Source organism: Homo sapiens, chromosome 22, assembly GCF_000001405.40.
Source record: "Homo sapiens chromosome 22, GRCh38.p14 Primary Assembly".
Taxonomy (NCBI): domain Eukaryota; kingdom Metazoa; phylum Chordata; class Mammalia; order Primates; family Hominidae; genus Homo; species Homo sapiens.
Window position 1 is genome coordinate 46,800,737 of NC_000022.11, and position 25,078 is coordinate 46,825,814.

Here is a 25,078-nt window from a genome sequence, read left to right on the forward strand (position 1 = left end):
GGTTGTTGTTACGTTCATTTGAACTGGCCTTTTTATCTTCTCACTTGATTTTTGTGCTATTGACGTATATGGTCACTTTTGTGGTCATTGACGAGTCAAGGACTTACAGATGTTTTCCTGGTTGTGTCCTGTGGTTTCCAGCAGTAGGCAGGTGGAGGAGAGACAGCTGGTGAAAGCAAGATTTGCCTGATGGGAACCCTGTGCTGGGTCAGGCTCTGAGTACCCACCTGGAGCATTCTGGAGGACTTTGTAATTGAACCAACTTTTGGAAATTAAAATCACACTTAAAAGTAAAGCTTTCAAGACTTGTAGGAAGATGGGAGTATGTAGGGCTAGATTTTAGCACGTAAAAATCAAGTATTTTGTTAGGTTGAGGGGACTGTGGGTTTTTTTCTTTCTTTATAATTCTATGTAAATATCAAATCTAAAACCAAAAAGCTAAATGCAGAGCTTTCAAAGTTAAACGATGACTGCATTTGTATTTAGTAGCAAGAGAAAACATCGCCAGTAAATTGCCTGTTTTTATAAGGCAGTTAAGATAGCTTTGGAAGACAGTGGAATGTACTTTCTTCACATTACATGAAAGACGTAAGTGGCAAATATTTGCCAATGTTGGAGAAGCAAATCACTGATGTGAGAAGTGCCTACAGAAATGAGTCTACCTGCTGAATATCATTCTGTCCAGCGGAGTGCTGTTTTTCTTTGTTTAGCTTACGCTCTGTTATGAGCCTGGGGATGAAAGTAGCAAATAGAACTTAATAGCTCATTTTACTCTTAGCATTGGCTCAATATTTACTCACACAAAGACTGCCTGCTTTGAAGCCCCGGAAAATGACACTCAAGTTGGTCACATGTATCTGGTGAATGGTAGTGCGATTTGGTAACATGTAGAACACGCAGTTTCCTGAGGACCGTCTAGGGCCTGCCTCGCAGCAGTGGGGCCTCGGAGGGCAAACTGTGTGTGGAGCTCAGCTCTGGCCCTCAAGGCTTTCGAACGGTAGGACAGAAGGCACGACGACCCGTCCGTCAAGGAGTGGGGCCAGGCCACGGCTGTGTTCCACTTCCCCTGAGGGGTGACCATCCAGTCTAGGCTTTATGAGAGCGTGCTGATAGATGGAGGTCAGCGGGAGAGGGTGTTTTGGGGGTTGGGAGGGCATGAACAGAAGTTTGGAGCCGTACACCTTGGCAGCACTAATACGAGTAGATGCCCCCTTGGTGTCCGTGGCTCTAGGGCAGCCGTGAAGGGGCCTGGGCCCTTGGTGACAGGAGGAAGCAGGTGCGGCCTTGGAGTAGGCCCTCAGTGTGATGGCTGGCCGTGTCCTTACTCATGAAGTGGCTCAACCTACCTGTTTCGTCAGCTGTAGAGGGAGCATGAGACCTGCCCTGCAGGGTCCTCGTGAAGGTCAGTGGGAATTTATGTAGAGTCACTCATCCAGGCTCTGTTGAGCACCTGCTGTGGTTGTAGGCACTGGGGAGGAATCGGCGGCGAGGCTTGCGAGGGCCCTGCCCTCAAGGAGCTGACATTCTCGTGTGAGGAGACAGAGGGAGCTCGCTCAGTACCCCCGCAACCATCAGAAGGCAGGAAGCATATAGGGAGAGTCAAGGCATGTGGAGGGTAGAGGCTGGAGCTGCTCTGCAGTTGGCTGTTTCTGGGGCGAGATCTGCACGGAGTCAGGTATTTGAAGAGGGGGCATGAGCATTCTAGGGACAGGCCCAGAGGTGCAAAGGTCCTGCGGGCAATAGAGCTTCATGTGCTTGAGGGGTTTCTGAGGCTCTGGCCTGGTGGCTGAGTGGGGTGTGGGGAGAGGCCTGCAAGGCAGGCAGGGACCAGGTCCCCAGGGCTGAGAAGTCCAGGAGAAGGAGCTCTGCTTTTACTTCGAGCACAGCATGAAGCCTCTGGGAGGTTTTGAACCGGGGGAGTAAAGCGCGGTGCAGAGCATCAGAAAGCGGTTGCTATTCTGTGGAAGGAAGAGCCGATGACTGCTTCTGAGCAGAGTGTTGCCAGTGGCCATGGACGACGTGGAGTCCTTGGGCAGCTCATGGGAGGGGCTGGAGGAGGGTCAGAGTAGGGTGGGAGACTAGGGGGCAAGAGTGGAGGCCGTGGGCTGGGGATGTGGGTGGGGTGGGCTGCGTGAGTCGGGGGCTGATGAAATCTGGAGCTGGGTAGACTGGCGAGAAGGCAAGAGCCAGGACCCCCATAGCTTAGAGCCTGGGGTCTGCAGGGATGGGGAACAGCCGATAGACACAGAAATCAGAACACACTCCAGAGATGGCATTTCACTGGGGAGACAAAATCTCCTCCTCATGAAACAGAGAGCCAGGGAAAGCAGTGTGTTTAAATGCTCCCATGGTTACAGCCACTGGGGGCCTTCACTCTGTGCTGGGCACTGTGCTGTAGAGACTGTGTTATCAGCCACCAAAAGACCCCCCTCTGCACCCCCACCCCCTTCCTGCGTGCCCCAGATTGCTGGCCTTATCGCTGGTTTACAGCTGAAGAGCTCGAGACAAGGTTAAACAGGCGGCTGCCCTCCAGCCCCACAGTGAGGGCAGAGCTGGCTGGGAACCGGGGTCACCCCGGGCTGGGCTCCCAGCCTCCAGGTCACACGTTTCTGGTTAGTGTAGACAGTGGGCATTCTTGGTGCTGTTGGAGGCCTGAGGAAGGGCGGCGGTTTTCTCTCCTGTGGGCCTTGTTGGAGATCTCGCTTCTGCTGTGGGAGCTGGGGCCCGGCCCCCAGGAGCTGAGGCGGGGAGGGCGGTTGGTTCTTGCGACCCGGCCGTCAGCGTTCAGCGTCGCCCTCTAGTGGCCAGGTGCTGTCTTTGCAGCCTGGGCTTCATGACCACAGCAGGGCACGTTGGCCTTGTGGGTGGGGGGTGCTTACACTTGCGCGTGTCTGTGTGTGTTCACCGTGCTTACTGAAAGGCAGGCACAGCCTCAGAAGAGAATAACGTGAGGGACGAAGATGAAAGCTCTGGCTAACTCGGCCTTGCCCTGGCGTCTCATCAGGGAAGGGCTTTGTCAAGGAAGGCAGCCCCCTGGCCACCTAGAACTGCTGAATGCAGAGGCCCGGGGCAGAGGGAACAAACTCCAGCTTGCACAGTCCTTCTGTGCATGCACTGGCCCAGCCACACCCAGATCCTTGCTGGCCCTGCTCTGTCCTCAAGTCCCCTGCAGTGAGTGTCACATAGTAGGTACTTGTCATTTGATGGTTCGCTGACTCTTCAGCTAGACCTTTCTTGCCTTCTTTTGGTGCATACATGGTCCTGTGTCTCTGGTTTTACTTTGTTTCTTAGATAAATTTACTAGGTAAGTAACTGACACTACCATCCAATGGCAGCTCAGCAGCAATGCGATGGCACCTCCTTGAGCCAAGGACGGGCTTTCCCAACCGTGTGACTCTGGGTTTGCGTTTTCCCCCCGTGGCTTCCCCCACATCACCGTTACTCTGCTTTCCCTCAAAGCTTGCCCCCGGCCTTGGCCCCTTTTTGCCCGTGTGTTCCCACTTAGGACAGGAGCTGTGCCTATTTCTTTTCTCTGCTCATTTTGTCACTAAAGGGTTTCTGTGATCATCATTAACGGAAATGTTATTGAAAGTTAGAGAAATGGAAAAGATAATAAAACCAACAAACCAAAATTGCCACTGTTTCCACATGCTGTATTAACTAGAGTTGTGCTTGCTTTTTCTCTCTAATTTATTCCCTCTTAATCAGTTCTTACCAGTTTTTCAGAGCTCACTAGCAGAAATGGCTCTCTCTCAGCGGCTGTTTTATCTGCAGAGTGATCTGGGCTTCAGGCAGGGCATGCGAGAGCCTCAGTGAACACGCTGGCTCCCCACTTTCACAGCATTGCCGGCATCCTTTTTTCTGGGTGATGTGTTCCCTGCTCGATGTGGTATTTGAACTACATGTGATGTCACTTGGCTTAAAATAACCAAATTAGATATGATTTGGTGAAAATTAGGAATTTTATTTACTATCCATAGTAATGTAAATCTTCAGTTTAATAGGAAACCTTTCACTGTTCCTTCAGGTGATTTGTTTCTGTTGAATGGTGATTTTTAGTCTGTAATATTAAAAGCAAATGCTAAAAGAGAGTTTGTAAGTCTTTGGTATGGTTTTAAAGGAGCCGCCTTAAAAACTTATCTGTTGCATGTTTGTCTTTTTTTTCTTATAATTTCTTTTGTAGATGAGGATATTGGATACAGACTTGAGCAATTGTGCGACTGTGGTATTTTCTCTATGTGAGGGATAGGAGAAGGAAAGTAGGGCGAGTATGGCAGGATCCCCAGGGACTCATTGCTCCTCGCCCTGTACAACATTTTCTACTTGTAACTTAGCTCCTATTATGGTTTCCTCTAAGAGAGTATGAGTTTGTGTCCATCTGCCCATTAGACTGTGATCCTCTCTTGGGCCGTGGCTGGAGTCACTCATCCTCCTGTTCCAGTGACTGGCACATGCATGGCACATTCTCAGGAAATGCTGGCAGAGTTAATTGAGCCACCAGCGGTCAGTCTCCTTCTCTCCTACCCTGTGTTCTTCAGCGGTGAGTGGGGCATCACTGGTTTTCCAGTTGACACAGGGTGCCTTGTATCTGGGGCCTTCCGTGAAGATGTGTTTTTGCTGTAGGTAACAGAAAAGCAGACGCAAGGACTTTTGAACAAATTCAAAAGTTAAGTTTCTCAGCAAGATGCCTGGAGGCAGGTAGCTGTTGGCACTGGTTCACTGGCTCAGTGATGTCCTCAGGATCTAAGCTCCAAGTCACTTGACCTCTTCCTCACAGCTCTAAAGGGGCTGTCACCATCATGGGGTGATGGAAGGAGCAGTCACCAGGGCAGGCGTCTTCTTACTGGGAGAGTAGGGCTGCCTTCAGAGCCAGGCCACATGGCCACTCCTGGTGGTAGGGGGAGCTGCCAAGGATGTGTCTCCTGTGGGCTGGACATGGGCACTTTCAAACCGGGATTCTGGAAACAGAGAGGTGGGATGGGTTGGATATTGGTTTGGCAGCCAACTGTGTTTGCCATTCACAGAGATTGATGTGTGTGTCTCTCACCGCCCCCCCACACCCCCCACCCGATTTCTGGTTCCTTAATGTCTTTCTGTCCTTCTTCTTCTTCTTCTTCTTTTTTTTCTTTATTTTGAGATGGAGTCTTGCTCTTTCGCCCAGACTGGAGTGCAGTGGCTTCATCTCGGCCCACTGCAGCCTCCGCCTCCCAGGTTCAAGTGATTCTCCTGCCTCAACCTCCTGAGTAGCTGGGATTACAGGCACCCACCACCACACCCGGCTAAGTTTTGTATTTTTAGTAGAGACGGGGTTTCACCATGTTGGTCAGGCTGGTCTCGAACTCCTGACCTCGTGATCCACCCGCTTTGGCCTCCCAAAGTGCTGGGATTACAGGTGTGAGCCACCGCGCCCGGCCTCCAACCCTCTTATCACATTTACCCCATGGCTCAGTGCCGAGCGCTGTGTGGAAAACGTAGTATAGAGACCCAGATGTTTGATTGCATTGAACTGTCTACAGAGTGCTGGGTGTAGAGGGACTCAGTAAATGAACTTTGAATTCTCATAGTCAGTGACATGGCATTTAGAATGAACCCTCCTCTGTTCTGATTTTTTTTTTTTTTTTTGCCCGGAAATGGAGCTGAGACTCAAAGGGCCACAAACCATCCCATTACTCAAGTGCATAGTACTGAAAGCTGCCGAGAAAATAATGTTTTTGTTTTAAGATGGTTTAAATTCCTTGGAGTCTATTATTTAAAAAATATTTAAAAATTATTAAAAATTTTTAAATTTAAATTAAATTTTAAATTAAATTAAATATTAAAAATATTTAAAAATTATTTAGAAAATATTATTTAAAAAAAGTATGGCCACAGACCATTAGAACTGACATGTAAGACTGAGCTGAAAAGAAAATCAAGCTAAAAAAGGATATAAAATGTGTTAACTTAGAAAAATGTGATAATGTACCTTTGACTTTCTAGGGGCTCTGGGTATGATGGTGAGTTGTCACCCAAGCCTGAGGACAGAGTGATGGGAGCCTGAGAGGGCGGAGGTGAGTGCCTGTGGCTGGTGGGTCCCACCCAGGGTCTGGAGTGGGTAGAATAGTGCTGATCTTCGGCCAGTCAGACCTGAGTAGCTACAATTATGGAATTGGGTTTGCTGATATGAGGAGGGGAAGTTCAACCTCTTCACAGGGCTGGCCGAGCAAATGTGTGCAGAGCCAATAGGGCTTTGCTCCTCCCCAGGCATGGCCTGGATACTCTAGTATTATGGGATATTTTATAAGAGGATTGGCAGGTTCTGTGACCGCAGATTCTTCCTGCTCAACCGCAGATTCTACAGGTGCATCCTGTAGACACTTTACAGGCGAAGTTACAGGGAAGAGGATTTCTTTAAGAAGGAAAGTTGGAAGACAGTGGTGAGCAATTAGAATTCACCACCAGCGTGGAACGATGGAGGATCAACAGCAGCAGGATTGTTCTCCTTCTTTAGAATTCAGGGCTTCAGGGATTAGTGTTGATTGTGATGGTGATGGTGATGATGGTGGTGATGATAGTAGTGATGGCGATGATAACTGTGATGATGGTGGTGGGAATGATAGTGATACCAACTCTCCTGCTTGTCGGTGTTGTGGACCCTGTCAGCCCGTGCTGAGGACTTCTGTCCTGTCTGCTCTGAGGCCCCAGTGCTGCTTTGCTTGGAGCTGTTTGGGAGGCACAGTGGGTTTGATGTTAGAAGGAAGAAGCACATGCATGCGTCTGTGTGACAAAGCCATTTGCTTGACGACACGCTGGCACTACTTGGCACTGTACCTCTGCAGCGGCAGTGACCAGTGTTTATCCAGCCTTCCCCACAGGCTAGCTCATTTGTTTGGCATTTACTCCATATGATGAGTAGGGCGGCAGGATTCCTGTGATTCCCATTTTGCAGATCAAGAAACTGAGGCTTAGAAATGGAGGAGGACCTAAGGTCAGATGCCAGCCAGTAGCAACAATCACTTGATTTAATCCAGGCTTCTTTGCATTGCACACTGCTTTGCTTACTTTAATAGGACATGAAGAGTTCGGTTTTAGAAATTTTATACAGGGCCAGGTGAAGTAGCTCATACTTGTAATCCCAGCAGTTGGGAGGCCTAGGTGGGAGGATTGCTCGAGCCCAGGAGTTGGAGGCTACAGTGAGCTATGATCATGCCACTGCACTCCGGCCTGGGTGACAGAGCAACACCGTGTCTCTAAAAGAAAAAGCAAAAAAATAAAAAAGAAACTTGGTACAGGATTAAATCATAGATGATTAAAATAAGAAAATGGGAAGAAATTTCTAATGAACAGAAATGCAGTAAGGGGCTGGGCACGGTGGCTTATGCCTGTAATCCCAGCACTTTGGGAGGCCGAGGCGGGTGGATCACCTGAGGTCAGGAGTTCGAGACCAGCCTGGCCAACATGGCAAAACCCCGTCTTTACTAAAAATACAAAAATTAGCCGGGCGTGATGGCACACGCCTGTAATCCCAGCTACTTAGGAAGCTGAGGCAGGAGAATTGCTTGAACCCGGGAGGCAGAGGTTGCAGTGAGCCGAGATTGTGCCATTGCACTCCAGCCTGGGTAACAGAGTGAGATTCTGCTTAAAAAAATAAAAAAAAATAAAAAAATAAAGAAATGCAGTAGGGATGGGAGGTGAAAAATAAAAAAATAATCCAGTTACCATCACAACTGGATACAATACAGGAAGTTACACCTTAAATCAGTTGCCAAGAATAAAGCAAATCCTTGGTTTTGCATAGAGAGGTGAAGGATATCACCTTTATCCTGATGTTATTGTGTGTGGTGAAATGTAGTCAGGTAAGGCTTTGACTTTGGTGTTTAGCCAGCTTTTTTTTTTTGGGAGACAGTCTTGTTCGGTTGCCCAGGCCAGAGTGCAGTGGCGCGATGTTGGCTTACTGCAAGCTCCGCCTCCTGAGTTCACGCCATTCTCTTGCCTCAGCCTCCCGAGTAGCTGGGACTACAGGCACCTGCCACCATGCCTGGCTAATTTTTTGTATTGTTAGTAGAGACGGGGTTTCACCGTGTTAGCCAGGATGGTCTCAATCTCCTGACCTCGTGATCCACCCTCCTCGGCCTTCCAAAGTGCTGGGATTACAGGCGTGAGCCACCGTGCCCGGCCTTCGCCAGCTTTTGAGGTATTCATATAAACTATTGGAGGCTTTCTCTTGAAATCCCAGACTATGTTCAAATTGGTCCTAAAGAGAAGAAGTTCAAGTTTGCTTAAAATCCTAATGTAGATTATCTTAGGGTAAGAGAATCTAAAGAATAGGTTAGTGTATTAATTTGCCTGGGCTGCCATAAGAAAATACCACAGACTGGGTGGTTTATGCAGTAGACATTGATTTCTCCCAGTTCCAGAGGCTGGAAGTCCAGGACCGGGGTGCTGGCTGATCCAGTTTCCGGGAAGGGCTCTCCTCCCGGCTTGCAGATGCCACATTTTTGCTGAGTTGTCACATGGCATTTCTTCTGTGCATGTGTGGGGAGAGAGATCCAGAGAGAGAGAGGGAGGTGGAGAGCGAGCGTGCACAGGAGCTCTCTGGGTCTCTCCCCATAAGGACACTTATCCTGTGGCTCAGGGCCCCACCCTCATGACTTAATTCAACTTCAGTTACCTCGTTATAGTCCCTGTCTCTAGACACAGTCACGCTCTGGGAGAGGCCTTCAACATACGAATTTGAGGATACAGTTCAGTCTCGAATAGTTAGCATATCTTTTTCAACTCATCTTTTAACCCAAGGTAAACCCATGGATTTGTTTTAGGTTCTAGAAGTAAGAATAACCACATCCCCTGCCACCCTGACCCTTAGCATCTCGGGGGTCAGGGCAGTATGGGAAACAGGACCATGGGCTTTGGGGTGGCGCATGTCAGGTCCTGTCCGGGCTTCGACATTTACTAACACAGTGACCTGGGCAGTGTCTTCATCTGTAGAATGGGGTAATGTCAGAGGCCTCCATAGTGTTTGGGAGGCGTGATGAGGCCATCTGCGGAGTGGTTAGCAGGGAGCCCTGCCCGGCTGCTGTGTTCTTACCGTCGTTTTCCTGTGTGTCCTCCCCACCCAGATTTTCCACTGAGGCCATGAAACTATATAGATGGCATTTGTTGTCCTTTTATTCAGGTTAATATTACATCATCCTCCTCTCCCATGCTGCTATAATCTTCATAACCATCATTTTTAATGGCTGTATAATGTTTTGAAAATGATCTTTACTTAAAATTCTTATTAAAATTGCATATCTAAGTCAAAATTTCATTTATATGCTTGATCAAAATGTAGACTTGTTTGAGAGTATTCAAAATGTGTCACATCAGCTCACGCATACAGAAGTGATGTTCCTGGGTGTTCTGGAGGAGGGAGGAATGCTCTGGGGCTCACCACTTGCAGTTTAGGAACTGGTAACATTGATTTCTACTCTATTTACCAGCGTTTCTAATTGGAAAAGCTGCATTATACGAAGTTAAAACATTTACAGTGGTTCCTCAGGGCTTGCAGCCTGACAAATAAATCTCCTTCGCTCCCGACCCTTCTATTTCTGTCTCCTTTCAGAAGTGTTCCACACATATTCGAGTAGATTTATATAGACGTGTGTTAATATATTTCTTACTCCACCCCATTCTTTTAAAAATACAAATGAAAACGTAATAGTGTTACGTGCCCCTTTTCTCACTCAAAAAAAAAAAAGTATATATTTATGGAGAGCATGAGAACAGGTAAGATTTAGTATATAGGTATAATCATCTTTTATTTTATTATGAGGGTCAAAATGGCATAAAATCATCAAATTTTTAAGTAAAAATTCTGTTTTAAAAACTTGAGGTGCAATTCAAATAACAGACAATAAACTGTTTTGTGGTGGACAGTTCAGCGGCTTTTGGTACATTCACACTGCTGCACAACCCCTACCTCAGGTATTCCTCATGCAAAAGAATAGGCAGATATTTAAGCTTTGGGAGGAGTTTTTTTTAAAACAATAATTACATAATTGGCGAGTTCTTATTCTTAGAATCAAATGAAGAGGTAGCTCTGCTTTCGACCCTTCTAGACGCCCCATGGTGATACACTCTTCCATTAAGGAACTCAGATTCCTCCTGGGAGATAGGAGACACCAAATCCGTCCTTTTGTCCTCATGTGAGTTCTCTGGGGGCAGCTGGGCTGCTGAGAGTCTGTACCCTTACATGCAGGATGATTGAAGAGGCTGGGCTTACTTTGGGGAGCATGGCTGGCATAGGCCAGGCTGTGTGTCAGAGTCCATCATGCGGCTGTCATCCAGGACAGCCTAATTACCAAGTACCCTGGGTGCAGGGCAGCAGACTGGCCTCAGATTCCTGTGGGCAGGGGACAGTGGGCATCGGATATTTGATGAGCTTGTTTCGGCCAGATTCAGGCAGTGGATGGTGACTGGGCCATGTGGACAGGCTTTGGTGCCTGTCCGTGGCCTGGTCAGGAAGACCCATTGCATGGAGTGGTAAGGAGCTGTCAGGGACAGATTCTGGGGTGGGGTGGAACCAGAAGAGAGACACAGGTGACAAGAAAGCAAGGTTCCCATCTCTTCATTCATCCGTCAGACACGAGTAGGTGCCTGCTGTGCCAGGCCCTGTGCTGGACGGTGATGAGCACTTGAGTTGTGTGGCTTCTGAAGGCTGGCATTTGTGGGTGCATCTTGTCTCATGGGTGTGATTTCCATAGTGGGAGATGGGGCAAGCCTCTCTTAGGGAGGGACTCACTTAAGCGGAGAGTTGAGCGGAGGAGGCAGAGTGGAGTCTGAGTGGCGAGGGTGGCAGCAGCAGCAACAGTCACAAGCAACGGTCACAACGGTGTATCGAGCTGCGTGCTGAGCGCGTTGTGTGCAGTGCCCCTGCGATTCCTAGAGACTTACAGAGGCTCAGTGTCTGGCTCAGGGTCGCCCAGCTAGTGGAGCCAGCACTCGAGGCCAGGTGTGTCAGAGAGAGCCAGCATCCAGTCTGTCGCCCTGCAGGACTGATAGTTTCAGAAGAAGGCAGTGGTAGGAAAAGCCAAAAATGCAGCTGGGGTCTGTTCTTGGAAGGTCTGGCCCGCCAGGTGAAGGCATTCGATTTGAGGCAGCTGTGGTGCCATGAGAAAGCCACTGGAGATGGAGAGGAGGTGCTGAGATCCCGTGCTCAGATCCTGCCTCTGCCACCCTCAGACCGTCCAGCTACTTAATCCCGCCGTAGCCTCAGTTTCCCTACCAGTAAAATCAAGGAATTGGTCCAGGTGGTTGCCAAGGTCTGGAAATCTTTGTTCTGTGTGTAGTTGGGAGTCCCAGAAGGTTTTGGGCAGGGATTGGAATGATCAGAGCTGTGCTTTGGGGAGGTTAATCGGGCTTCTGGTGCTTTGTGATTATCCTGCTGTAGGGCTGGAAGTGACGTGGGGGTGACACTTTGAAATTCAGCAGCAGGTGAATTAGCTGTGCTCTGAGCTGTGGCTGTTTGGAACTCCCTCATGCCGTTTCTGGGTCTGGTGGCAGCTTCTGCTCCCCTGCCGCTGCCTCCTCCTGCCTGCTCGTTCCCTGGCACCAGCGCTGGCTTCTCTGCACCCCCTGTGGGCACAGCAGGCACAAGGATAATGAGGCTGTTTGGGTGGGCTTGTGGTGCTGAGGAGACACGGAGCACCCATGAATCATGGGGATCACAGTGGCCCAGATGTGAGGCTGGCATTTGAAGTTTGCAGGCTCTGGGGCTCCCACGGGTTGGTCACACTGTGGGCTGCCTGGCCTCACAGCCTCGTCAGCCACTCTTCCCACCCCTTTGGGGACACTGCCCACCCCTGTGGGGACTGCCGCCTTTCTGCTGGCTGTGTGTGGCTTTGGTTTAGCTCGATGGGGGTTTTGAAATGGGTTTTCCGTGAAGTTGATTGAGGAATTGGCAGAAGGCTCACTGTGTTTAGCGAAAATGGATTTTAGTTGAAGATGCAGCCAGGTAACTCAAACTTTGGGATGGCTTTACTGACCCTTGTTTTATTATCATACTTGTCAAATGTAGGGACTGCTATTCAGTTGACAAGAAAACGTTTCCTAATCCTCGTAAGCTTAAATTTGCTTGTTTCGACTTAATGTTAGCATTTATCTTTTTTGCTTTGGTTCTTTCAAGCCATTTGATGCTTCTTTTGACTCTTTCCATGCTGCAGTTGATCTTTGTGGCGTGTACGGTCTCTTTCCTGTTATTGATAGAGTCTGTCGTGTCCGGAGCTGTCCGTGAGGTGATTTATGCGGCCGCTGCTGCCCCTTGGTCCGCTCTTTGTCTCCCAGGCGGCTCCGCAGGTCTTTCTGTATGCAGGCCACTGCATTTCATTTGCTTCTTCCTTTACTTTAATGACCTTCTAGATCAGACCATTAAATACTTCACTAAAGTACACTCTTTTCTTCCATTTATTCATGGTTATTTCCTCAATAAAGTGTATATTGAATTCGTAAGACACAGATTTCCTTGTGTGTGCCTGTTCCATCAGAAGTCATTGAAACTTTTCTAGGCTTGGGGCTTCTGTGCTTGGAAATTCTGTCCCTATTACCTAAGCCACATATTAAAGAATAAGATCTATTTAGCAAAGTCATTTTTTGATCCTTAGTATGCGGCATTTAATTTACAGTTATTTTCAGTGAGATTTTAAATTTGCTTTGGCCAGTATGGGTGACTTCTCTGGAGAGGGAGAAATCTTATTTTTACTTTAACTTTTTATTGGCTTTTCCGTTTTCCCAGGGTAGAAGAAGAATGCTTTAATAATAGTGAAAATTATTTCTGATTATTTCATTCAATTACAATATGTAGTGAGCTCCTACCAGGCGAGGCACAGGGGACCCAAAGGCTTCTGCTCCAATGGAGAAAGAGATCTGCCGCAGATAATACGGTAGAACTAGGGAGGGTTAGGGCCCTTAAGCATATGTCAGAAGTTCCGTGGAAACACAGAGGAACGAGTAATGAATTCTGCTGGGGATTTGGCTGGGGGTGGGAGCAGGTGGGCCTTCAGGGGCCAGAATAGCTGCAGAGAAGTTATCCTGTCTGTGCTGGGCCCCGGAGGCTGAGCCACCTCCTCAGCCCAGGACTGGGGCAGGGGTTCCATGAAGGCAGGGGCACCTGACGGACAAGAAATCAGATCTAAAAATGCAGACAGTATTTGGGAAAGTGGCGTGGTTTGGACATCTGAATCTCTTTGTCAGACATAGGAGGCTGAGCCCTGGTGCTCCTTCCAGGAGCCTTGGTGGCGACCAGAAAGCTGTTGCTGGTTTCTGCCTTTCCGCAGCCCTTGCATAGTCAGCGCACACCCTGGCCTCTTCACCCACAGGCTGGCGTGGCAGGAGCACCAGCCTTACCTTCTTAGAGAATATTTACTTACATTCATCTTTGCTATTCTTAAATATTATTTAAAATTACAGATGGTCAGTGTTTGAAATTTAGAAACTACTGAGAGTAATAATAAGAAAAATAATAGAATCTAATGCTATGTGCCAGGTGTGGGGTGTGGAGTCCTTGATGTATATTTTCTTGATCATTTCTCACAGTAGTCCTGTGAAGTGGATGCTATTTTTATTCCTGTTTGACAGATGAGGAAACTGAGGCTTGAAGGGGTTAAGAAACATGCCTGACATTCCAAGATTTTGACGTCACAGAGCCAGGGCTCAAACTTAGGAATGTCTGAGTCCACTGGGCACAGGCTCTCCTGCCTGCTGTGCAACCTGCCAAGACCAGTCTCAGGAAGAAAGATAAAAACCCATGTAAACTACCACCCTGGATTCCCCAGGACGTTAAAAAAGCTGATCTTCTTTGTCTTTTTGTGAGGGCTGTGTGTGTGTGTTTTCCTTTTCACGTAGACTTGAGATTAAGCAGTGTATCTAATTATATATCTTCTTATATTTATTTTATTTTTAATTTTTTTTTTGAGATGGAGTCTCACTCTGTTGCCCAGGCTGGAGTGCAATGACAAGGTCCCGGCTCACTGCAACCTCCGCCTCACAGGTTCAAGCAATTCTCCTGCATCAGCTCCCGAGTAGCTGGGGTTACAGGCCGCTGCCACCACACTGGCTATTTTTTTTTTTTTTTGTATTTTTAGTAGAGACAGGGTTTCACCATGTTGGTCATGCTGGTCTCGAACCCCTGACCTCAGGTGATCCACCCACCTCACCCTCCCAAGTGGTGGGATTACAGGTGTGAGCCACCATGCCCGGCCTATTTTTACTTATTTTAAATAATGTCTTTTCCCATGACACTAACTTTCTTTGAAAACATGATTGTTCATGGCTTTATAATAGTTATCAAAATACATTCATTTCTTCCATTTGCTTGTAGGTGAAACATTTCTGAAGACATTCTATTATTTGGGTGTTTAAGTTGTTTCCAGTTTTGTTTTTGATGTTGTTTTTTATTTATTGTAATTACTAACCTGTGAGACACACCCCTGAGACATAACTCTTGAACACTTCCTTGTGTATTTCCATGGCGTGAGCCCTGGGGCGAGGACTCGGTGTTAAACAGAGCTGTGCGGCGGTCGCTTGTTCACTCGTGTTGTCTTGCTTGTCCCTGCGGTTCCCTGCTGGCCCCATGCAGTTTGATAGCCGCTGTTGACTTAATTACTCTTTGCCCTTCGTTTCCTCTGTATCAGTGTTTTTGAATTGAAGTGCCCCTGGGCACAGAGTCCTTTATTTGGACCTTTGGATGTTTTCTCGCTCAGAGTACGCAATCCTACTTCCCCTGTGTTTGATTTGCCAAGGTTTTTCTGCTTCAGACTTTCTAAATTCTTCAGAGGATTGGTGGGCAGTTCTAACAAGACGGTGCCCATTTCTCTTTCTAATTTATTCACTTGTTTGCTCACTCATGAATTCAGTCATTTGCTCATTGATTTGTTCACTCATTTACTCGGAAAATGTTTCTTAAGCATCTGCCTGGTGCTGGGCACTGACGATACAAAGATGTATTTGTGAGTGGTGCTCCCTGCCCTGTAGCAGCTCATCCATGTTGAGAGACCAGGCAAAACAGGAAAATTCCAGCTTTATGGCAAGGTGAAGGAAGGGGATGGGTGCCTGGACCTCCGTGGATGGGGCTTGTTTGGCTGGTGGGAGGATGGAAGATGGAGGGAGAGGGCCTGCGTGGAGGGGAGGCCTGCTGGTGGGTCGGGGGTGAGTGGAGATAATCGGCTGGAGCCCGTGGGGTATACCTGCGTGCGCCATGGGCAGGTAGGTCCCACTGCAGCCTTGGGGAGGGCTCTGGGGAACGAGAAGCAGATTGGATTTTACCCTGCAGGTGGTGTCATTTCCCTGCCTACAGTTCTTTAACAATCACACTCACACCCTTGGGATAGGGTCCCAAGCCTCTGGCCCTCTGGCTGCTGCGAGTGTCCTGGGAGCCTGCCCTGGACCTCCTGCTGCGGCCGGCCGCCTGCCTGCCTGCTCTTGGCGGCAGCTCCTCCTCTGCCTGCGGTGCTGTCCCTGAGCCTCCCCACTGGAAGCTGTCTGTGGCCCATGTGCCTCGTTCCCCCACACTTTGGTTTGGAGGGTATCACAGGGGCGGGATTGGGCTTGGTGCCGGGCCTGGCTCAGGGCCATGCTTGGTAATGATTTGGTAAACTGAAGAGTAAGCTCTGCCTGGAGCTGTGTTTACTCTTTCCCTTATCTCAGCCAAAAACTGTCCTTTTCAAGAAATTTACTGCCTTTCTCTAAGCACTGAATGAAGTTATTCTTTCCAATAAGATTAGGTAAATTCTGTGGAGGACTTGAAGGAGAACCAGTCCCATCAGAAGTCAGCCCAAGAATAGTACCATCTCAACAGCAGTAGATTTTATTGGGGCACATTGTGTGTGAGGCTCTTTGCTTTAGGCAGTGGAGTGAGGTGGGGAACAGTACAGGGAAGTTAGCCACGTGGTAGATGACAGGATGAGTCATGATTCTTTTTTTTTCTTTTTTGGGCTTTTCAGAGCCTTTTGATGCTTATGCATATTATCAATCCCCATGACCAAAATAAGATAGGCCACATTTCCTAACATTTGTCTACAGAGCTGCTTATTCACAGGCCACTTTAACATTTCACGGTCGTGGTGGTCTACAGGAAGCGGGTAGAGCTTGTGAAAACTGAAAACCTTATTCATGGGGTCATTCCCTCTGATTGAACCTCATTCAAAGGGTCATTCCCTCTGATTCCCTAATTATCAGATCTTAACATCTGAATTCTCTCAGTGTCCTTTTCACATAGGCAAAATGCTGATGTTCGAACATTAAAGACTTCCAGTAAAAAGAACATCTTGTATTGCACAGCTTAGAAAATTCTTTCTAAACTCATCAAGTTGTATACATTTAAGTAGGCACATCTTTTTGTAAGTCAATCGTATCTCAAGAGAGTGGCTTAAAATTTTTTTTTCCTTTTGGTTGTACTGGAATAGCTTTCTCTGTAACTTCTACCCATTGGCTGTAATAAGTGGGGCTGTATTGGATGAGTCCAATTCCCTATTCACATTGCTGTAAGTATATGAGGATACTAGGTTGTCCTTTTTTTTTTTCTTTATTCCTTCTAAAAAAAATCTGGGATACAGGTGCAGAATGTGCAGGTTTGTTACGTAGGTTACGTGTGCCATGGTGGTTTGCTGCACCTATTGACCTGTCACCTGTTGACCTGTCCTCTAAATTCCCTCCCCTCACCCGCCCACCAACGGGTGCTGGTGTGTGTTGTTCCGCTCTCTGTGTCCATGTGTTCTCATTGTTCAACTCCCAGCTATGAGTGAGAACATGCTATGTTTGGTTTTCTGTTCCTGTATTGGTTTGCTGAGGATGATAGCTTCCAGCTTCATCCATGTCCCTGCAAAGGACATGATCTCATTCCTTTTTATGGCTGCATAGTATTCCATGGTGTATATGTACCACATTTTCTTTATGTAGTCTATCATTGATGGGCATTTGGGTTGGTTCCATGTCTTTGCTATTGTAAATAGTGTTGCAGTAAACATATGTGTGTGCACGTATCTTCATAGTAGAATGATTTATATTCTTTTGGGTATATACCCAGTAATGGGATTGCTGGGTCAGATAGTATTTCTGGTTCTAGATCCTTGGAAAATCGCCATACCGTCTTCCACAGTGGTTGAACTAATTTACATTCCCACCAGCAGTGTAAAAGTATTCCCATTTCTCCGTAGCCTCACCAGCATCTGTTGTTTCCTGACTTTTTAATAATTGCTATTCTGGCTGGTGTGAGATGGTGTCTCATTGTGGTTTTGATTTGCATTTATCTGATGATCAGTGATGTTGAGCTTTTTTAAATGTTTCTTGGCCGCATAAATGTCTTCTTTTGAGAAGTATCTGTTCATATCCTTCTCCCACTTTTTGATGGGGTTGTTTTTTACTTGTAAATTTAAGTTCCTTGTAGATTCTGGATATTAGACCTTTGTCAGATGGATAGATTGCAAAAATTTTCTCCCATTCTGTAAGTTGCCTGTTCATTTTGATGATAGTTTCTTTTGCTCTGCAGAAGCTCTTTAGTTTAATTGGATCTCATTTGTCAATTTTGGCTTATGTTGCAGTTGCTTTTGGTGTTTTTATCATGAAGTCTTTGCCCATGCCTATGTCCTGAATGGTATTGCCTAGGTTTTCTTCTAGGGTTTTTATGGTTTTGGGTTTTACATGTAAGTCTTTAAGCCATCTTGAGTTAATTTTTGTTTAAGGTATAAGGAAGGGGTCCAGTTGTAGTTTTGTGCATATGGGTAGCCAGTTTTCCCAGCACCATTTACTGAAGAGGAGATCCTTTCCTCATTGCTTGTTTTTGTCAGGTTTGTTGAAGATCAGATAGATGGCTGTAAGTATGTGGTGTTACTTCTGAGGTCTCTGTTCTGCTCCATTGGTCTATATGTCTGTTTTGGTACCAGTACCATGCAGTTTTGATTACTGTAGCCTTGTAGTCAGGTAGCATGATGCTTCTAGCTTTGTTCTTTTTGCTAGGATTGTCTTGGCTATATGGGGTTTGATTCCGTATGAAATTTAAAATAGTTTTTTCTAATTCTGTGAAGAATGTCAATGGTAGTTTGATGGGAATAGCATTGAATCTGTAAAGTACTTTGGGCAGTATGGCCATTTTTACGATGTTGATTCTTCCCATTGATGAGGATGGAATGTGTTTTCCTTTGTTTATATTCTGTTACTTCCTTGAGCAGTGGTTTGTAGTTCTCCTTGAAGAGGTCCTTCACATCCCTTGTTAGCTGTATTCCTTGGTATTTTATTCTCTTTGTAGCAATTGTGAATGTGAGTTCATTCATGATTTGACTCTCTGCTTGCCTATTGTTGGTGTAAAGGAATACTTGTGATTTTTGCACATTGGTTTTGTATCCTGAGACTTTGCTGAAGTTGCTTATCAGTTTCAGAAGTTTTTGGGCTGAGCTGATGGGGTTTTCTAAATATAAAATCATGTCATCTGCAAACAGAGACAACTTGACTCCTCTCTTCCTATTTGAATACCCTTTATTTCTTTCTCTTGCCTGATTGCCCTGGCCAGAACTTCCAGTACTGTGTTGAATAGGAGTGGTGAGAGAGGGCATCCTTGTCTTGTACCAGTTTTCAGAGGGAATGCTTCCAGCTTTTGCCCATTCAATATGATATTGGCTGTGGGTTCATCATAAATAGCTCTTATTATTTTGAGATATGTTCCATCAATACCTAGTTTATTGAGAGTTTTTAACATGAAGGGATGTGATGTTGAATTTTATCAAAGGCCTTTTCTGTATCTGTTGAGATAATCGTGGTTTTTTGTCATTGGTTCTGTTTATGTGATGGATTATGTTTATTGATTTGCATATGTTGAACCAGCCTTGAATCCCAGGGATGAAGCCTACCTGATCATGGTGGATAAGCTTTTTGATGTGCTGCTGGATTTGGTTCGCCAGTATTTTATTGAGGATTTTCGCATTGATGTTCATCAGGGATATTGGCCTGAAGTTTTCTTTTTTTGTTGTGTCTCTTACCAGTTTTGGACTGAGGATGATGCTGGTTTCATAAAATGAGTTAGGGAGGAGTCCCTCTTTTTCAATTGTTTGGAATAGTTTCAGAAGGAATGGTACCAGCTCCTCTTTGTATTTCTGGTAGAATTCAACTGTGAATTTGTCTGGTCCTGGACTTTTTTTGGTTGGTAGGCTATTAATTACTGCCTCAATTTCAGAGCTTGTTATTGGTCTATTTAGGGATTCAGCTTCTTCCTGGTTTAGTCTAGTTAGGGTATATGCATCTAGGAATTTATCCATTTTGTCTGGATTTTCTAGTTTATTTGCATAGAGGTGTTTATAGTATTCTCTGATGGTAGTTTGTATTTCTGTGGGGTCAGTGGTGATATCTCCTTTATCACTTTTTATCGTGTCTCTTTGATTCTTCTCTCCCTTTTTCTTTATTAGTCCAGCTAGCCATCTATTTGTTCATTTTTTCAATAACCCAGCTCCTGGATTTGTTGATTTTTTGGAGGGTTTTTTGTGTCTCAGTCTCCTTCAATTCTTCTCTGATCTTAGTTATTTTTTGTCTTCTGCTAGCTTTTGGATTAGTTTGCTCTTGCCTCTTCTAGCTCTTTTAATTGTGATGTTAGGGCGTCGATTTGAGATCTTTCTGGCTTTCTAATGTGGGCATTTAGTGCTATAAATTTCCCTCTTAACACTGCTCTAGCTGTGTCCCAGAGATGCTGGTACATTGTCTCTTTGTTCTCACTGGTTTCAAAGAACTTTTTGATTTCTGCCTTAATTTCATTATGTACCCAGGAGTCATTCAGGAGCAAGTTATTCAATTTCCATGAAATTATGTGATTTTGAGTGATTTCTTAATCCTGAATTCTAATTTGATTGCACTGTGGTCTGAGAGACTGCTATGATTTCAGTTCTTTTGCATTTGCTGAGGAGTGTTTTACTTCCAATTATGTGGTCGATTTTAGAATAAGCGCCATGTGGCACTGAGAAGAATGTATATTCTGTTGATTTGGAGTTGAGAGTTCCATAGACATCTACGAGGTCCACTTGGTCCAGAGCTGAGTTCAAGTCCTGAATGTCCTTGTTAATTTTCTGTCTTGTTGATCTAATACTGATAGTGGGGTGTTAAAGTCTCCCACTGTTATTGTGTGGGAGTCTAAGTCTCTTTGTAGGTCTCTAAGAACTTGCTTTATGAATCTTGGTGCTGCTGTATTGGTTGCTTATATATTCAGAATAGTTAGCTCTTCTTGTTGAATTCTTCCCTTTATCATTATGTAATGCCCTTCTTTGTCTTTTTTGATCTTTGTTGGTTTAAAGTCTGTTTTATCAGAGACGAGGATTGCAACCCCTGCTTTTTTTTTTTTTTTTTGCTTTCCATCTGCTTGGTATATTTTCCTGCATCCCTTTATTTCGAGTCTGTGTGTGTCTTTGTGTGTAAGATGGGTCTCTTGAATACAGCACACTGATGAGTCTTTACTCCTTATCCAGTTTGCCAGTCTGTGTCTTTTAATTGGGGGCATTTAGCCCATTTACATATAAAGTTAGTATTGTTATGTGTGAATTTGGTCCTGTCATCATGATGCTATCTGGTTATTTTGCACACTAGTTGATGCAGTTGCTTCATAGTGTCATTGGTCTTTATATTTTGGTGTTTTTTTGCAGTGGCTGGTACCGGTTTTTCCTTTCCATATTTAGTGCTTCTTTTGGGAGCTCTTGCAGGGCAGAGCTCTGCAGTTTATCTGGTGGTAACAAAATCCCTCAGCATTTGCTTGTGTGGAAAGGATTTTATTTCTCCTTTGCTTATGAAGCTTAGTTTGGCTGGATGTGAAATTTTGGGTTGAAAATTCTTTTCTTTAAGAATGTTGAATATTGATTCTTTCTCTTCTAGCTTGTAGAGTTTATGCTGTTAGTCTGATGGGCTTCCCTTTGTGGGTGACCTGGCCTTTCTCTCTGGCTGTTCTTAACAGTTTTTCCTTCATTTTGACCTTGGAGAATTTGATGATTATGTGTCTTGCGGTTGATCTTCTTGTGGAGTATCTTAATGGTGTTCTCTGTATTTCCCGAATTTACATGTTGGCCCGTCTTGCTAGGTTGGGGAAGTTCTCCTGGGTAAATATCCTGAAGTGAGATTTCCAGCTTGTTTCCATTCTCCCCATCCCCTTCTGGTACTCCAGGCAATCGTAGGTTCGGTCATTTTATGAAGTCTCATATTTCTTGGAGGCTTTGTTCATTCTTTTTCATTCTTTTTTCTCTATTCTTGTCTGCATACCTTATTTCATTAATGTGGTCTTCAAACTCTGATATCCTTTCTTCTGCTTGGTCGATTCAGCTGTTGATACTTGTGTTTGCTTCACGAAGATCTCATGCTGTGTTTTTCAGCTCCGTCAGGTCATTTATGTTCCTCTCTAAACTTGTTATTCTAGTTAGCAGTTCCTCTCACCTTTTATCAAGGTTCTTAGCTTCTTTGCATTGGGTTAGAACATGCTCCTTTAGCTCAGTGTAGTTTTTTATTACCCATCTGCTGAAGCCTACTCCTGTCAATTTGTCCATCTGATCTTCTGTCCAGTTCTGTGCCCTTGATGGAGAGACACTGTGATCATTTGGAGGAGATGAGGCACTCTGGCCTTTTGGGTTTTCAGCATTTTTTCGTTGATTCTTTCTCATCTTTGTGAGTTTGTCTAGTTTCGGTCTTTGAGGCTGCTGACCCTTAGTTGGGGTTTTTTTTGGGGGACTTTTTGTTGTTGATGTTGTTGTCGCTTTCTGCCTGTTTGTTTTTCTTGCAATAGTCAGGTCCCTGTTCTGTAGGGCTGCTGCAGTTTGCTGGGGGTTCACTTCAGGCCCTATTCAACTGATTCACTCCCATGCCTAGAGATGTCACTCATGGAGGCTGGAGAGCAGCAAAGATGGGTGCCTCCTGCTTCTTCTGGAACCTCTGACCTTTAGGTGCACCAACCTGATGCCAGCAGGATCTGTCCTTTATAGGGTATCTGATAACCCCTGTTGGAGGGTCCCACCCAGTTGGGTGGCATGGGGAGCAGGACCCGCTTAATGAAGCACTTTGTCCCTTGGTGGAGAGGGTGTCTTTTGCTGGGGGAGAACCCACTTGTCTGGGCTAAGGGTTGGTGGGGGCTGAGGTCACCAAATGAAGGGGCCCTACTTTTGCTTGAATGGGGACCCTGGGCTAAGATCTAGGTGAGCTCCAGTATATGTGAGAATTGCCTGTCTCCTGGGGAGCTCCCCAAGCCAGAGACCCCATCATTCCTGGGTTGAAAACCACTATCCTAGGGTAAAGGACAGCAAGAGAGTCGGTGCTGGGACCATTCAGACCAATGTGGGTAACCTCTGCTGTCAGGAACCACAAGTATCCGGCTGCATCAGGCTTCTGGGAGTGACTGCAATTTGAAATCCAAAGCATCTTACTGTCTTCTTTGAAGAAATACACATGTAGGAGGCCGAATGAGGTATAAGGTTGAGGGTCCATGACAGTGTCTCTGTGAAGAATCCAAAAGCCAGGGCAACACCAAACTGTGGTGATTCATGGTGACCCACAGCCTTACAAATCTGATTTATTCAAAGGTGTGATATAGAAAAGTTTAGGCTTATATACATAATGCACGTTTATTATAGAAAAATTTGGAAAATATAGAACACTGCTGCAAAGAAATCGCCACGTGTGCATCACCAGCTCCATTCAGTTTCTGTTCTTCGTGTGGTTGATACTACTGTACCCTACCTGCCATTTGAGGTCCCCTGGGAAGGGCAGGCCCATTCAGGGAGGCCCAGGGCCCTGGGTGAGTTCTCAGGGCATGGGAAGCTGTGTGGCAGGTGCCCGCGTGGTGTTTGTGCCGTTGTCCATGCTGGGCAGGATGCAGACTGCAGTGTGGCTTGAATCCTGCCTCACCACTTACGGGGAGGATTCAATGAATTCATGGAAGGCAGGGTCTTAGAATAGTGCCTGGCACGTGGGCAGTACTTAATAAATGTTAGCGATGCTATTGAGTTTTCTTCTCATGGTCACTGCTGGGTCTGCTCTGCCTTCTCCGGAACTCTTGATGTAATTTAATCAGCTCACAGCACTTCTGGGGTAAGAGCCTGCTGCGTGCCACATGCCGTCACAGGAGCCGGGAGTGCGGCCGTGACCAGGACCAGCAGGTGCTGCACACGCACACCTGACCCCATCCGCACACAAGTGGGATGGACAGTGGAGCTGTGATTCAGATGATGCAGGACCATGGTCTGGGGCAGCACCACCCAGGGCGACAGTGCCAGCCCGGGTGTGATTTAAAGTGTCCCTGTAGCCGTGGTAAGGAAGTAGCAAGCAACAGGTGAGATGAGTTTTAGTAATACATTTTATTAATATAATATATAAACTATATCACCATAACACGTTATAAATTCAGTATATAATAGATATAAAAACTGTCAATGAGATAACTTACACTCAGTTTTCTGTACTAAGCCTAGAGTGTGTTTCCTACTTAGAGCGTCTCTCAGCTGGACCACTTTTTGGGTGTCCTGTAGCTTCCGTGGCTCGAGGCTCCTGTGTTGGACGGTGCAGGGGTGAAGAAGGGGCTGCTTATGAAGGTGATTTGGATGGTCATTCTGATGGGGTGACAGTGAAGCGTAGACCCAAAGGATGAGAGGAGATAGCCACCTGATGATTTGGGGGCACATAACCCTCTAAGGAGGGGTGTGTGGGGATGAGCTTGGTGTGCATGTGGTCCTTCTCCAAGAAGGCCGCTGTGGCTGCAGTGAAGTGAAGGTGGAGCTTGGAGGCGAGCGAGGAGGGAGGGGAATCAGAGCTGCATCCTGCAGGCCCCTGAGGGCGGTGGAAGGAGGTCACATTCCATGCTAGTTGTGGTGGAAAGCCAGTGGAAGGTTTGAGCTGGGGCTGGCGCGATTCGACTTAGGCTTTCAGAAAGATCCCTGTGGCTTTTCTGTGGAGGTAGGAAGACCAGTTAGGAGGGTGGTGGCTGGAGTCGGTGGAGGTGGAGGAGGTGATGAGAAGTCTGGGGTTTGAGGGGGTGTATTTTAAAGCTGTGGGGAGGAGGCTTGTTGAGGGACTGGGTGTGAAGGATGAGGGAAGGAGGGCCATCAGGAGTGGCTGTTGAGGATGGGGCAACTTGGAGAGGAGCAGATTTGGGGAGAAAAGAGACGGAATTTGGCTTGGGACATGTAAAGCCTGAGGTGCCCTGAGCCATCAGTCAGGGTGTCAAGTGGGCAGCTGGACACAGGTGTGTCTGTAGTGATCTGTAGCCGAGGCAGATGCCAGGATGGGGACGTGGGGTGTGGATGCTGGAGTTACATTGAGACCTGGCCTGCCCAGCATTCTTTTTCATGTGCTGATCTGCTTGGGTCAATACATTTTTAATTCTGCAAAGAAGGGTGGTGCCTGTGTTTTCCCTTAACGCAAGGCATTTGCGTGTGCAGCAGGCGTCAGTGGAGTTTTGGAGTGTCAGGGATAATGTAATAGTTATGTAATAACTTAAAATCGATGACTAAACATCCACGTTCCCCCCAGAGAAATTCCTTTTGCCACCAGGAATTTCTTAGAGGTGCCTTTTTCTTCCTGGGGGTCTGAACCCCGCCGTGCCCATGCCTGTGCTGTGTTTCCTCTCTGCAGGGGCCCAGCTCCCCTCACCAGCACAGGGGACCCGCAATGGCTCTGCCTTTGGAATCTGCCCGTCTCCCTTTACCAGGAGATGCAGAGAACTTTGTTCTCTCCCTTCATATGAATTATATAATACCCACTTGCCAAAAAAGATTACAGTGAATTGTTTTTTTTCTTTTGAGACAGAGTCTCACTCTATCACCCGGGCTGGAGTGCAGTGGCACGATCTCAGCTCACTGCAAACGCTGCCTCCCAGGTTCAAGCGATTCTTGTGCCTCAGCCTCCCAAGTAGCTGGGATTACAAGCATACACCACCATGCCTGGCTAATTTTTGTCTTTTTAGTAGAGACGGGGTTTTGCCATGTTGGCCAGGCTGGTCTCGAATTTCTGGCCTTAAGTGATCCACCCGCTTTGGCCTCCCCAAAGTGCTGGGATTACAGGTATGAACCACCACACCCAGCCTAAACTGAATTGTTTTAAATAAAAATTGCCCTCACATATT

General features: G+C 46.4%; 1 protein-coding gene across 19 annotated transcripts in view, besides 4 other annotated features; it reads left to right on the forward strand.

The window, feature by feature from the left end:
- The window catches only part of TBC1D22A (TBC1 domain family member 22A), a 413,050-nt gene that overhangs the window by 38,087 nt on the left and 349,885 nt on the right, over positions 1-25,078 (forward strand).
- Positions 2,482-2,531: an enhancer, noted in NCBI's record as "active region_19262". NCBI's record gives its function as "activates an Ori minimal core promoter by ATAC-STARR-seq in GM12878 lymphoblastoid cells {active_cell/tissue: GM12878}" and the evidence as "EXISTENCE:reporter gene assay evidence [ECO:0000049][PMID:35858748]".
- Positions 2,552-2,721: an enhancer, noted in NCBI's record as "active region_19263". NCBI's record gives its function as "activates an Ori minimal core promoter by ATAC-STARR-seq in GM12878 lymphoblastoid cells {active_cell/tissue: GM12878}" and the evidence as "EXISTENCE:reporter gene assay evidence [ECO:0000049][PMID:35858748]".
- Positions 2,742-2,791: an enhancer, noted in NCBI's record as "active region_19264". NCBI's record gives its function as "activates an Ori minimal core promoter by ATAC-STARR-seq in GM12878 lymphoblastoid cells {active_cell/tissue: GM12878}" and the evidence as "EXISTENCE:reporter gene assay evidence [ECO:0000049][PMID:35858748]".
- Positions 14,147-15,099: an enhancer, noted in NCBI's record as "H3K27ac-H3K4me1 hESC enhancer chr22:47210780-47211732 (GRCh37/hg19 assembly coordinates)". NCBI's record gives its function as "activates a minimal SCP1, AML or CMV promoter by ChIP-STARR-seq in naive H9 embryonic stem cells {active_cell/tissue: H9 hESC(naive)}" and the evidence as "EXISTENCE:reporter gene assay evidence [ECO:0000049][PMID:30033119]".